The sequence below is a fragment of the Homo sapiens genome, chromosome 3 (genome assembly GCF_000001405.40).
Source record: "Homo sapiens chromosome 3, GRCh38.p14 Primary Assembly".
Classification (NCBI taxonomy): domain Eukaryota; kingdom Metazoa; phylum Chordata; class Mammalia; order Primates; family Hominidae; genus Homo; species Homo sapiens.
Genome location: NC_000003.12, coordinates 138,147,098 through 138,160,954, shown reverse-complemented (window position 1 = coordinate 138,160,954; position 13,857 = coordinate 138,147,098). Strand labels below are relative to the sequence as shown.

Genomic DNA, 13,857 nt, shown 5'->3' with positions numbered 1-13,857 from the left:
CATATTGAGTTTTTTTTGTTTTTTTTTTTTGAGATGCAATCTCACTCTGTCGTTCAGGAGTGCAGTGGGGAGATATCGGCTCACTACAAGCTCCGCCTCCTGGGTTCACGCCATTCTCCTGCCTCAGCCTCCTGAGTAGCTGGGACTACAGGCTCCCGCAACCATGCCTGGCTAATTGTTTGTATTTTGTTTAGTAGAGACGGGGTTTCACCGTGTTAGCCAGGATGGTCTCTATCTCCTGACCTCGTGATCTGCCCGCCTCGGCCTCCCAAAGTGCTGGGATTACAGGCGTGAGCCACTGTGCCCGGCCAGCATATTGTGTTTTAACTTTAGCTTTAATTTTCATGTAACTATAGTAACTATGTAGGTCATTTTTGGCATAGTTCACCCCATAGTTTTAATTACTAGCAAGGATCAAGCTGCACAAATAACTGCCCCTCATGCTGCGTGATGGATTGCTAAATTAAAGTATTTTTGAAGATCCATATAGAAAAACTACACCTCTGTGCTATCTCTGGTTAAAATACCTGGGCCACCTGAAGAGATTGTCACTCCGTACTTCATATCAGAAGTCGTGGAATCCAAGATTGTTCCAGGATCTCATCATCCCATGGCAGTCTAAATCCAGGAGTTAATCTAGGAGAATAATAATGTAGCACTTGGCTTCTACCTTGTCAACATTTGACTTAATAACGGTCTAGGATTTGGGGGATTTTATTTTTATTTCCTTCCATTTTTTGGTTTACTTTCTTTTTTGAGTTGAATAATTCACTCATTTTACTTTTTTTTTTTTTTTTTTTTTTTTTTGAGACAAAGTCTCACTCTGTCACCCAGGTGGGAGTGCAGTGGCACAATCTTGGCTCATTACTGCAACCTCCACCTCCCAGGTTCAAGGCAATTCTGGTATTTCAAGGTGAATCTCATGCCTCAGCCTCCCAAGTAGCTGGGACTACAGGCGCCTGCCACCATGTCCAGCTAATTTTTTTTTTTTTCAGGCAGAGTTTTGCTCTTGTTGCCCAGGCTGGAGTGCAATGGCATCATCTCAGCTCACCACAACTTCCGCCTCCCGGGTTCAAGCAATTCTCCTGCCTTAGCCTCCCGAGTAGGTGGGATTACAGGCATGTGCCACCACGTCTGGCTAATTTTTTGTATTTTTAGTAGAGATGTGGTTTCTCCATGTTGGTCAGGCTGGTCTCGAACTCCTGACCTGAGGTGATCCGCCCACCTCGGCCTCCCAAAGTGCTGGGATTAAAGGCTTGAGCCACCACACCCGGCCTAATTTTTGTATTTTTAGTTGAAATAGGGTTTTGCCATGTTGGCCAGGCTGGTCTCGAACTCCTGGCTTCAGGTGATCCACCTGCCTTGGCCTCCCAAAGTGCTGGGACCACAGCCATGAACCACCTCGCCTGGCCCACTTATTTAATTTAATTAATTTATTTATTTGAGATAGTCTCATTCTGTCACTCAGGCTGGAGTGCAGTGGCATGATCTCGGCTCACTGCAACCTCCGCCTCCTGAGTTCAAGCGATTCTCCTGCCTCAGCCTCCCAAGTAGCTGGGACTACAGGCCCATGCCACCACACCCGGCTAATTTGTGTATTTTTAGTAGAGACAGGGTTTCACCATGTTGGCCAGGATGGTCTCAATCTCTTGACCTCGTGATCCGCCCACCTCGGCCTCTCAAAGTGCTGGGATTACAAGCGTGAGCCACGGTCCCGGCTTGCTTTATTTATTTATTTATTTATTTTATTTTTATTTTTTTTGAGATGGAGTTTTGCTCTGTTGCCCAGGCTGGAGTGCAGTGGCGTGATCTCAGCTCACTGCAAGCTCCGCCTCCCGGGTTCACGCCATTCTCCTGCCTCAGCCTCCCGAGTAGCTGGAACTACAGGCACCCACCACCATGCCCGGCTAATTTTTTTGTACTTTTAGTAGAGACGGGGTTTCACCGTGTTAGCCAGGATGGTCTCGATCTCCTGACCTCGTGATCCGCCTGCCTCGGCCTTCCAAAGTGCTGGGATTACAGGCATGAGCCACTGCGCCCCGCCCTTATTTATTTATTTTTGAGACAGAGTCTCGCTCTGTCCCCCAGGCTGGAGTGCAGTGGTGCGATCTCAGTTCACTTCAACCTCTGCCCCCTGGCTTCAAGCGATTCTCCTGCCTCAGCCTCCTGAATAGCTGGAACTACAGGTGTCCGCCACCATGACCAGCTAATTTTTGAATTTTTAGTAGAAATAGGGTTTCATCATGTTGGCCAGGCTGGTCTCAAAACTCCTGGCTTCAAACGATCCACCCGCTTTGGCCTCTCAAAGTGCTGGGATTACAGGCCTGAGCCACCACGCCCAGCCCGGCCCACTTATTTTTATTCTCATTATTTACATAAAGTATTTAAAGCTATGACCAGGCACAATGGCTCATGCCTGTAATCCCAACATTTTGAGAGGCTGAGACAAGAGGATTGCTTGAGCTCAGGAGTTCGAGACCAGCCTGGGCTGAAGTGAGACCTCGTCTCTACAAATTAATAAAAAAAAATTAGCTGGGTGTGGTTTCACATGCCTGTGGTCCCAGATACTTGAGCAGCTGAGAAGGGAGGATTGCTTGAGACTAGGAGGTTGAGGCTGTAGGGAGCTGTGATCTTGCAACTGCACTCAGCCTGGGCGACAGAGTGAGACTGTCTCAAAAGAAAGAAAGAAAAAGCTATGAATTGCCCCCGATTGCTGATTTAATTGAATTGTAAAAATTCTGCCATTTATTGTTTTTTTCCCAGAAATTTTTATTAAAGAAAAAAGCAGAAACAAATATTAGAGTTAATAAATGATGTTTCTCAAAAAAACCTAGATAATCCTCTAGCTTACCTAATCAAGAAATAAAGCACAGATATAGAAAGGAAGAAAGAAAGAAAAGAAAAGAAAGAGAGAGAGGGCACAAATATAGAAAGGAAGGAAGGAAGAAAAAAAGAAAGAAAAGAAGGAAGGAAGGAAAAGGAAAGAAGAAGGAAAGGAAGGGAAGGGAGGGGAGGGGAGGGAGAGAGAGAGAGAGAAAGAAAGGAAAGAAAGGAAGGAAAGAAAGAAAGAAAGAGAAAGAAAGAAAGAAAAAAAAAGAAAAGCAAGAAAGATTGCCATACTAAAGAACCTCCTGACCCAGATGGTTTCAGGAGGAAACTACCCAAAGCCCAGATAATTTCTGGCCGGGCGCGGTGGCTCACGCCTGTAACCCCAACACCCGAGGTGGGTGTATCACCTGAGGCCAGGATTTCGAGACCAGCCTGACCAACGTGGAGAAACCCCCATCTCTACTAAAAATACAGTATTAGCCAGGCATGGTGGCGCATGCCTATAATTCCAGCTACTCGGGAGGCTGAGGCAGGAGAATCGCTTGAACCTGGGAGACGGAGCTTGTGGCGAGCTGAGATCATGCCATTGCACTCCAGCCTGGGCAACAAGAGCAAAACTCCGTCTCAAAAAAAAAAAAAAAAAAGAAGGCCAGATAATTTATAATGTTAGATAAATTGTTTTAAAATATATAAAATTAAATAAAATTTACAGTTTCTTTTTATGAAAGTATCACATTGAAGTCTAAATCTGAAAAAAATTACACAAAAAACCCTGTAAATCTCACATATACATATTGATGCAAAAATCCTAAATAAAATATTAGAAAGCAACCTATAGCACACTTTAAAATGATATGGCATGACTGATAAAAAAAGATGGTTCAATATTAGGAAGTCTGTTTATATAATCCACACATTAATATACCTAAGGCCAAACATCATGATTATCATCATGGGTGATGAAAAGGTCTTTGACAAAATTCAACACCCATTTCTGATTTTGTAAAAAAAATAAGTAGCATCTTACTTAATGGGGAAGCACTAAGTATTCCCATCAAAGCAAAGGAACAAAACAGGATACCCACTACCTCCATTACGTTTTAACATTGTATTGGAAAGAACAAAACAATCACAAAAGAGAACACAATGAGGGGAATCAGAATTGCAAAAGAAGAGGCATCCATATACAGGTGATCTCATAGTTTAGGTGGAAAACAAGAAAATTACAATTAGGCCAGGCACGGTGGCTCACGCCTGTAATCCCAGCACTTTGCGAGGCCGAGGTGAGCGGATCACGAGGTCATGAGATGGAGACCATCCTGGCTAACATGGTGAAACCCCGTCTCTACTAAAAATACAATAAATTAGCTGGGTGTGGTGGGGCGGTGCCTGTAATCCCAGCTACTTGGGAGGCTGACGAAGGAGAATGGTGTGAACCCAGGAGGCAGAGGTTGCATTGAGCCGAGATTGCGCCACTGCACTCCAGCCTGGGCGACAGAGCAAGACTCTGTCTCAAAAAAAAAAAAAAAAAAAAAAATTACGATTAAAAGTAATTCAAACAATCCTATACCTCAGTAAAGTGATAAGATAAAATTAACATAGAAATCAGTTTACACACAATTACCAGTGACATAACACCAACAAGAATACTTAAGAAGTAGGCAAAACATATAATGAGGAAAACCATAAAATATACCTGAAAAATACAAAAGTAGACTTTATGGTAAAATATCTCTTATTCTTGGATAGATAGACAATTTTAAACATATCAATTCTTCTCAAGTTATACAAATTTAAAATGATCCTAGTCATGATACCAGTAGTTTTTTTTGTTTTGTTTGTTTTTCTAAAGCTAGACAAGTTGATTTTAAAGTTTACTTGGAGAAATAAGGACAGGAAAATTTCCAAAAAAGGGCAATGGAGGGATACTGGGCATATTATATATTAAAACATACTATAAAACCTGTATGGGCCGGGTGCGGTGACTCACGCCTGTAATCCCAGCAGTTTGGGAGGCTGAAGTGGGAGGATCACTTGAGGCCAGGAGTTCGAGACCAGCATGGCCAATATGGCAAAACCCCATCTCTACAAAAAGTACAAAAATTAGCGTGTGGTGGAGCACACCTGTAGTCCCAGCTACTTGGGAGGCTGAGGTGGCAGGATCGCTTGAGCCCAGGAGGTGGAGGTTGCAGTAAGCTGAGATCACACTACTGAACTCCAGCCTGGGCGACAGAGCAAAACTGACTAAAGAAAAAAAAAATCCTGTGTAATTAAAACAATGTAGTACTGTGTAGTATTGGTGCATTGGAGAGATCAATGGACCAGAAAGACTGGAAATAGGCCCAAACATATATAAAGTTTTAGTATTAAGTGGCATCTCAAATTACTGAGGAAAAAGAATGTTTTTGTTTGTTTTTTCAGAGACAGAATATTGCTCTGTTACCCAGGAGTGCAGGTGATCATAGCTCACTGCAGCCTCAAATCCCTAAGCTCAAGCAGTCCTCCCACCTCAGCCTCCTGAGTAGCTAAGACTACAGGCATGTACCACCACTCTTGTCTAATTTTTAAAACTTTTTCTGTAGAGGTGGGTTTCATTATGTTGCCCACGTTGATCTTGATTCCTGGCCTCAAGCAATCTTCCCATCTTGGCCTCCCAAAGTACTGGGATTACAGGCATGAGCCACTGCACCTGCTAAGATGATGTTTTTAATAAATAGAGTTGGATATATGGATATTTATTTGGAAAGAAACTTGGGTTTATACTTTATATACCATAATAAACTCCAAAAAGATCAGAGATCTACATGTGAAAAATGAAATCCTATAATACCAGATGAAAACACAGGTAAATTTCCTTATAACATGGAACGGAGGAAAGCCTTTGTAACTGTATCTTAAAATGCAAACACAGGAAAAGACTGATACATTTTGACTATATATAAAAGTAGATAACTTTTGCATGGCAAAGAAAACATACCATAAACAAAGTTAAAAGGTAAATGACAAACTGGTGATACATACTTGCAACTCATCACCAACAAAGTTCTTATCTTCCCAAAATATAAACTATATAGACCCAGTAATCCCAGTTCTAGGAATATGACCTAATGATATATGTCCCCAAATTAAAAAAAGCATAAGCACAAGGTTATTCATCATAGCATTATTTGTAGTAGCATAAGATTGGAAATAACCTAAAAGTTCACCAGGAGAGGACTAGTTGAACAAACACCCAAAGGAGTAAGATGAAGCCTTAAAAAAAAGAAGAATGTGGAACATGAAATTTTATACATGAATATTTATAGCTGCATTATTCATGTTAGCCAAAAAGTAGAAATAACCCAAATGTCTATCAACCAATGATTGGATAAAATGTGGTATATCTATACAATGAAATATTACACAGCAGTAAAAAGGAATGAAGTACTGATACATGCTATGTGGATGAACCTTGAAAACACTATGCTAAGTGAAAAAAGCCAGACACAAAAATCCACATGTAAGACTCCATTTATATGAAATGTTCAAATTAGAGACAGAAAGTAGATTATTGGTTGCCTAAGGCTGAAGGAAGGGAGTAGGAGATAATGAGGAATAACTGCTAATGAATACAGGGTTTCTTTTTGGGGTGATGAATATGATCTCAAATTAGATTATGGTGATGGTTACACAACTCTGAAAATATTGAAAACATTGAATTGTGGCCAGGCACGGTGGCTCACACCTGTTACCCCAGTACTTTGGGAGGCCGAGGTGGGCGGATCACTAGGTCAAGAGATTGAGACCATCCTGGCCAACATGGTGAAACCCCATCTCTACTCAAAAAAAAAAAATACAAAAATTAACTGGGTGTGGTGGCACGTGCCTGTAGTCCCAGCTACTCAGGAGGCTGAAGCAGAAGAATTGCTTGAACCCAGGAGGTGGAGGTTGCAGTGAGCTGAGATCAAGCCACTGCACTCCAGCCCGGTGACAGAGCAAGACTCCATCTCAAAAAAAAAAAAAAAAAAAAAGAAAGAAAATATTGAATTGTACACTTAAAGAAAGAAGAATGTGAGAGACTCTCATAAACTGTTATGGAGTAAGTTCTAGGTTATAAGTGAAAAAAGCCAGATGCAGAACAGTATATATAATATGGTTTGGCTCTGCATCCCTACCCAAATCTCATCTTAAATTGTAATCCCCATAATCCCCACGCATAGAGGGAGGGACCTGGTGGGAGGCGATTGAATCATGGGGATGGCTTCCCCCAAGCTGTTCTTGTGATAGTGAGTTCTCACGAGATCTGATGTTTTTATAAGTGTTTGACAGTTCCTCCTTCTCTTTCTTTCTCTCTCTCTCTCTCTCTCTCTTTCTCTCTCTCTTGCCTGCCACCATGTAAGATGTGCCTGCTTCTCCTTCTGCCATGATTGTAAGTTTCCTGAGGCCTCCCCAGTCTTGGGGAACTGTGAGTCAATTAAAACTCTTTCCTACATAAATTACCCGGTCTCGGGTATTCTTTATAGCAGTGTGAAAATTGACTAATACAATATATTTTCTGCCTAAGAAAGTTCACCTTCTTATTCTGTCTTTTTTCTTTTAATTTTGAATTTTAAAGCATTTGCATGTTTCAAAAGTCAAAACTATATGGAAAGGTATACTCAGAGATGTCTTGCTTTCGTTCTGAACCCCTTTATCCTCTTATCCCTCCCCAACTCTTTTTTTTTTTTTTTTTTTTTTAGTTTCTAGTTTATCCAAGTATTGGAATTGGCAATATCTCAGGTGAACCTTTAAAGTGGCAGAAGTTGTGGAAGTCATTTATTTTTGGCCTGCATTCCTCTTTCTGGTACTAGTACCACATCTTATTTTTTTGAGAGTCACCTTTACTGCACTGGTGTCCAGCTCTTGACCGTTCATGGGAAGTCACGTGATTCAAGTTGTACCAGTTGGATGCTCCTTCCTTGGAATACAAATCTCGATCAGAGAGATAAAGAGATGAAAATTGTTGGTGCTCATTAGTTCCAGTGGCAGTAGCTTGACAAAACTATTGAGTAATTTCTACTATCTATTCTACATTCTCAGAATTTCTCTTTTCTTAGCCTAGTTTTCCAGTCTTCCTTTCATCTTCTAATTACCAATCCCCTATTCCCTTACCTCCTTCCAGTAAATTTCCCAGTTGTTTAATTTAGTCAGTAAGTTTTGGTATTTGCAACCAAAATGTCCTGACTTATACATATACTTCTGAGTGTTAATGAGCTTGTATTGGAGTGGGGGGAAAGTGCAAGGGAAGAAATAGAAGGCCTTCACCTGTTATTTTCTTCAATTTTTCGTTATCACCCTAGACCACTCATTTATTCATTCGAGAAATATTTACTGAGATAAATAGGTCTCAGGCACTATACCAGGGACATAATGGATGAGAAAAACCAGGTATAACTCCTGTCTTCATGGAGCTTATAGTACAACGAGATAAATTAATGTTAATAAAATAATCACACCAATAATAGTGAAATTCTAATTATAGTAGTGTGACAAATGAGAGGAATATAGGTGGACATTTGGTTTACAGGTATTGTTTAATATTCTTATTGGAGGTCTTGGTCAAAAGTATAAAATAATAAAAGAAAATAAGAAATATAAGCGTTGGCTGGGAGGCGGAGGTTGCAGTGAGCCGAGATCGCGCCACAGCACTCTAGCCTGGCAACAGAGGAAGACTCTGTCTCAAAAAAAAAGAAAAAAAAAAAACTGTGGCATTTTTCTACATCAGCAATAACCAGTAAGAAAAAATGATAGCAAATGAAATAGCAAGAACAAATATGATAACATTTCTGGAAATTAATGGTTCAAAAAATGAGTAGACATCAATAAAGAAAAATTTTAAGTTATATTAAAAATAATACATTAATATTTAAATAAATGAAGAAATTGTCCATGGTTCTGGATGTGATAGAATAACATTATAAAGTTGTCAATTAACAACTGCCAGTGATCCCAAACCACCTGAAAGTGTTGATGCCATTCTGGTAATTTAACAAATTGGAAAAGTAAAATTTTAACATGAATTATAGAAGTGAAATTACATAGGACATTCAACATCATTTCTTTTTTTTTTTCTCTTGAGACTGAGTCTCGCCCTGTCGCCCAGGCTGGAGTGCAATGGTGCGATCTCAGCTCACTGCAACCTCCGCCTCTGGGGTTCACGATTCTCCTGCCTCAGCCTTCCAAGTAGCCGGGATTACAGGCACCCACCATCATGCCCAGCTAATTTTTGTATTTTTAGTAGAGACAGGGGTTTCACCATGTTGGCCAGGCAGGTCTCAAACTCCTGACCTCGTGATCTGCCCGCCTTGGCCTCCCAAAGTGCTGGGATTACAGGCATGAGCCACCACACCCGGCCTCAACATCAAGTATATAAAAGTACTGATACAAGAAAGAACGCTGTGAAATGTTGATATGACCACTATATTTATTATTAACAAATAAAATGTGGAGAAGGAAGGCTAGGTGAGATTATCAAAGGATTCCAAAGCATTTCAGTTGCTTTTCTTTTCTTTTCTTTTCTTTTTTTTCAAGACGGAGCCTTGCTCTGTTGCCCAGGCTGAAGTGCAGTGGCGCAATCTTGGCTCATGGCAACCTCAGCCTTCTGGGTTCAAGTGATTCTCCTGTCTCAGCCTCTGGAGATTACAGGTGCCCGCCACCAAGCTGAGCTAATTTTTGTGTTTTTAGTAGGGATGGAGTTTCACCATGTTGGCCAGGCTGGTCTGGAGCTCCTGACCTCGAGATCCGTCCACTTCAGCCTCCCAAAGTGCTGGGATTACAGACCTAAGGCACCATGCCCAGCCCTTCAGTTGCTTTTCTTTGTCCATTTTGAGCTTCTCCACCTACTGACTTACTGAGTCCAAAGTGGGAAACTGCTGGTGATTTCCTGAATTTTTCAGTAATACCTGTATCAAAATTATGAACTCTCATCATAAGCTTGTGTTCATCATTGTTGGGATACTCATTTGGTTTTCTTTAAATTTTCTTTTTTTGAATTACTCATATATTCACACAATAAAACATATCTGTTTTATCTCTGTCTTCCAGTCACCCAGTTCCTCTCTCTAGAGTCAATCAACATTATAAGTTGAATTTATCTTTTTCTCCTCTCTTTTGAGGAATATGGTGGTAATCTATATTCTATTTGTTACTTTACTCTTTTCCACTTTAACAATCAATATATCTTGGAGATGATTCCATGTCCATACACAAGTCTTTTTTGTTTTTTTATGGGTGCATTATATAAATGTATCTTATTAAACCAGTTCCTACTGATATACATTAGGTTGTTTCTAACCCTTTGATAATAAAAACAATGAAAATGAATATGTATGTCATTTTACCCATGTGTAACTGGATCTCTAGGATAAATTCCTAGTAATGGAATTGCTAGTCAGGCCTGGCTTACACCTGTAATCCTAGTACTTTGGGAGGGTGAGATGGGCAGATAACTTGAGCCCAGGAGTTCAAGACCAGCATGGCCGACATGGCAAAACCCCACCTCTATTAAAAGTACAAAAATTAGCTGGGTGTGGTGGCGTGCACTTGTAATCCCAGCTACTGGGGAGGCTGAGGCACGAGAATTACTTGAATTCAGGAGGTGGAGGTTGCAGTGAGCTGAGATCATGCCACTGCACTTTAGCCTGGGTGACAGAGTGAGATCCTGTCTCAAAAAAAAAAAAAAAGGATATGTTGGTTTATAATTTTGATATGTATAGCTCAACTCCCCTCTACAGAAGTTGATACAGATTTACGCCTCCAGGAATGTATGTTTCTCCACATCTTCCCCAACACCTTATATTATTAAATTTTATAAGCCTTTGCTTATCTTTTACTGTTAACTGTCTAGTCATAATTTTTTTTTCTTTTTAGAGATGGGGTCTCGCTTTGCCACCTAGACTGCTGGAGTACAGTGGTGTCATCATAAATCACTGTAGCCTTGAACTCCTGGGCTCAAGTGATGCTCCTGCTTCAGCCTCCCAAGTAGCTGAGACTACACGTGCACACCACCACACCTGGCTAATTTTTAAAAAATTTTTGTAGAGATGGAATCTCGATATGTAACCCCTGCTGGTCTCAAATTCCTGGACTCAAGGGATCCTCCCTCCTCAACCTTCCAAAGTGCTGGGATTACAGGTGTGAACCACTGTACCTGGCCAATTTTTACCTGTTTTTTTATTGAATTAAATCTTAATTTCTTATTGATTTGTAGAAGTTTTTATATAATAGGGAATTTATAACTTTGCTTTTCATTGTCTCTGACTTACCCTTAAAGATTCTGTAATCATTAGGCCTTTTTTCTTTCTTTTTTGAGATGGAGTCTGGCTCTGTCGCCCAGGCTGTAGTGCAGTGGCACGATCTCAGCTCACTGCAACCTCCGCCTCCCGGGTTCAAGCAGTTCTCCTGCCTCAGCCTCCTGAGTAGCTGGGATTACAGGCATGTGCCACTGTGCCTGGCTAATTTTTGTATTTTTAGTAGGGATAGGGTTTCACCATGTTGGCCAGGCTGGTTTTGAACTCCTGACCTCAAGTGATCCACCTGCCTTGGCCTCCCAAAGTGTTGGGATTGCAGATGTGAGCCGTCGTGCCTGGCAGGCCTTTTTATATAATAAAATAATAAAATAAAATAAAACACAGAATCAGATTCTACAACACAAGTATATGGCTTATTGAATTATTATAAGGTGAATACTCCTGTAATTACCACCCAGGTTACCTGGGTGGCTAGAACTTTGCCAATCATCTCAGAAGACCCTCCATATGCCCCATTCTGATCTCAACTCCCTCCCTTCCTTCATTATCCATTATCCTGTCTTCTACAGTAATCACTTCTTTGTGTTTCTTCAGTTTTCCATCCATGTACAATCCTAATCACTACAGTTTAGTATTGTATATTCAAAAATTGCTATGTCTTTAAAGCATTTTTTTTTTTTGAGATGGAGTTTCACTCCGTGGCCTAGGCTGGAGTGCAGTGGCGCGATCTTCGCTCGCTGCAACCTCTGCCTCCTGGATTCTCCTGCCTCAGCTTCTTGAATAGCTGATACTACAGGCATACACCACTACGACTGGCTAATTTTTTGTATTTTTAGTAGAAATGGGGTTTCACCATGTTGGCCATGCTGATCTTGAACTCTTGATCTCAGGTGATCTGCCTACCTCGGCCTCCCAAAGTGCTGGTATTATAGGCATGAGCCACTGCGCCCAGCCTTAAAGTATCTTTTAATCTTCAGGAATCCCCTCCATTCTTTGTTTGCTTTACAATTTTTTCAGATTAAGACATCGGAACCTCTGATGTGTGGTTTCTCACAGTCTGGATTTTGCTCTTGATACAGTTTAACACATTTCTCTATTGGCTGTATTACCGCAAATTGGCAGCTGGAGCCAGAGGCTTTATTGGATTTAGGTATAATCCCTTTGAAAAGTCCATAGGTGGTGCTGTATTCATTCATCAGGAGGCAAATAATGCCTGGTTTTCACTCGTTTTTTGATATTAGCAGCTGTTGATGCCCAATGCCTAGATCCATTAATTTACGGGGAGTTGCAAAATTGTAATATTCTAACTCAATAATTTATTTGCCATGTATTAGTTGGAATGCTTTTACATACATCTATAAGTTGAAATATTTTTATAACTACTCTTTTTACTGTCAGTAACCACAAGGACAATTTTATATAGAAAATATAAAATGAATCTTTGGTTCTCTCTCTTACGAATTTTCAAGATAGTGATTTGGGTATCTATCATGATCCAAAACTGGTCAATTAGGTTTTTAAAAAATATCATGAGTCTAGGATTTTAAATATATTTGAAGAGTTTTGATCAATTGCAATGATTATGCCTTATAAAGCTAAGAGTATCCTGTTTTTGTTCAGTAGAAGCCTCCTCAAGTTGGTTCCTGAATCATTTGACATGACCCTAGTAGCTTTCTTGCTATCTGGTGTGAAAATATATTCTAGATTAAACATGTACTTTTCCTGCCTCAGGCCTTGAATGAAGTATTTCCCTCTCAAAGCCTTAATTTTTCTTTTTTCTTTCTTTCTTTTTTTTTTTTTGAGACGATTCTCACTCTGTCGCTCAGGCTGGAGTGCAGTGGCGTGAACTCGGCTCACTGCAAGCTCTGCCTCCTGGTTCACGCCAGTCTCCTGCCTCAGCCTCCCCAGCAGCTGGGACTACAGGAGCCACCACCACGCCCGGCTAATTTTTTGTATTTTCAGTAAAGACGGGGTTTCACCGTGTTAGCCAGGATGGTCTCGGTCTCCTGACATCGTGATCTGCCCACCTCGGTCTCCCAAAGTGCTGGGATTACAGGTGTGAGCCACCGCGCCCTGCCCTAAAAGCCTTAATTTTTCTTAGGCATATTTCAAAACCACAATCTGTTTGGGTTAAAGGATGGCTAATTGCTACTGTATTGACCATTGTTTACAATGGTCTTCAATGATAGCTAGGAAATGTACACACACACACACACACACACACACACACACACACACGGCAAAATATCCCAAGTTCATACTGATACTTATAATTCAAATTCTGGACTATAGGGTGTTTTGCTTAACCTTTTCTATATTGGATATATTTCTATCCACCACATTGGAAATCCTGATTTTCAAGGAGCTAGGTTATGATAGAATTAGAGTACTCTATAATCACTCATTTATTTTGACTACATTATTCACACAAAAGTCTCAGGATAATACAATTACTGAGAGCTTTTTTGTTTTTTGGGGGGGGTGTTTTTTTTTTTTTGTCTGTTTGTTTGTTTTGCCTATCTGCTCTCCATTTTCTCCCCATTTTGGTTTTTGCTTGTTGATATGGTCAATTTTAAGTCACTGATATTGCTTTCTTTTTTCTATTTTTCTCATCAGTTTTTTGTTCCCCATTTCTTCCTTTTCTGACTTCTTGTAGAATAATCTGCTATTTTTATGATTCAATTTTTACCTCCTTTGTTGTCTTATTAGATATAAGCTCAGTTGTGTCATTTTGGTGGATACTTTAGTGTTATAATACATA

The 13,857-nt window shown here is 40.4% G+C and overlaps 1 annotated feature.

The window, feature by feature from the left end:
- Nucleotides 5–506: an enhancer, noted in NCBI's record as "OCT4 hESC enhancer chr3:137879291-137879792 (GRCh37/hg19 assembly coordinates)". NCBI's record gives its function as "activates a minimal SCP1, AML or CMV promoter by ChIP-STARR-seq in primed H9 embryonic stem cells {active_cell/tissue: H9 hESC(primed)}" and the evidence as "EXISTENCE:reporter gene assay evidence [ECO:0000049][PMID:30033119]".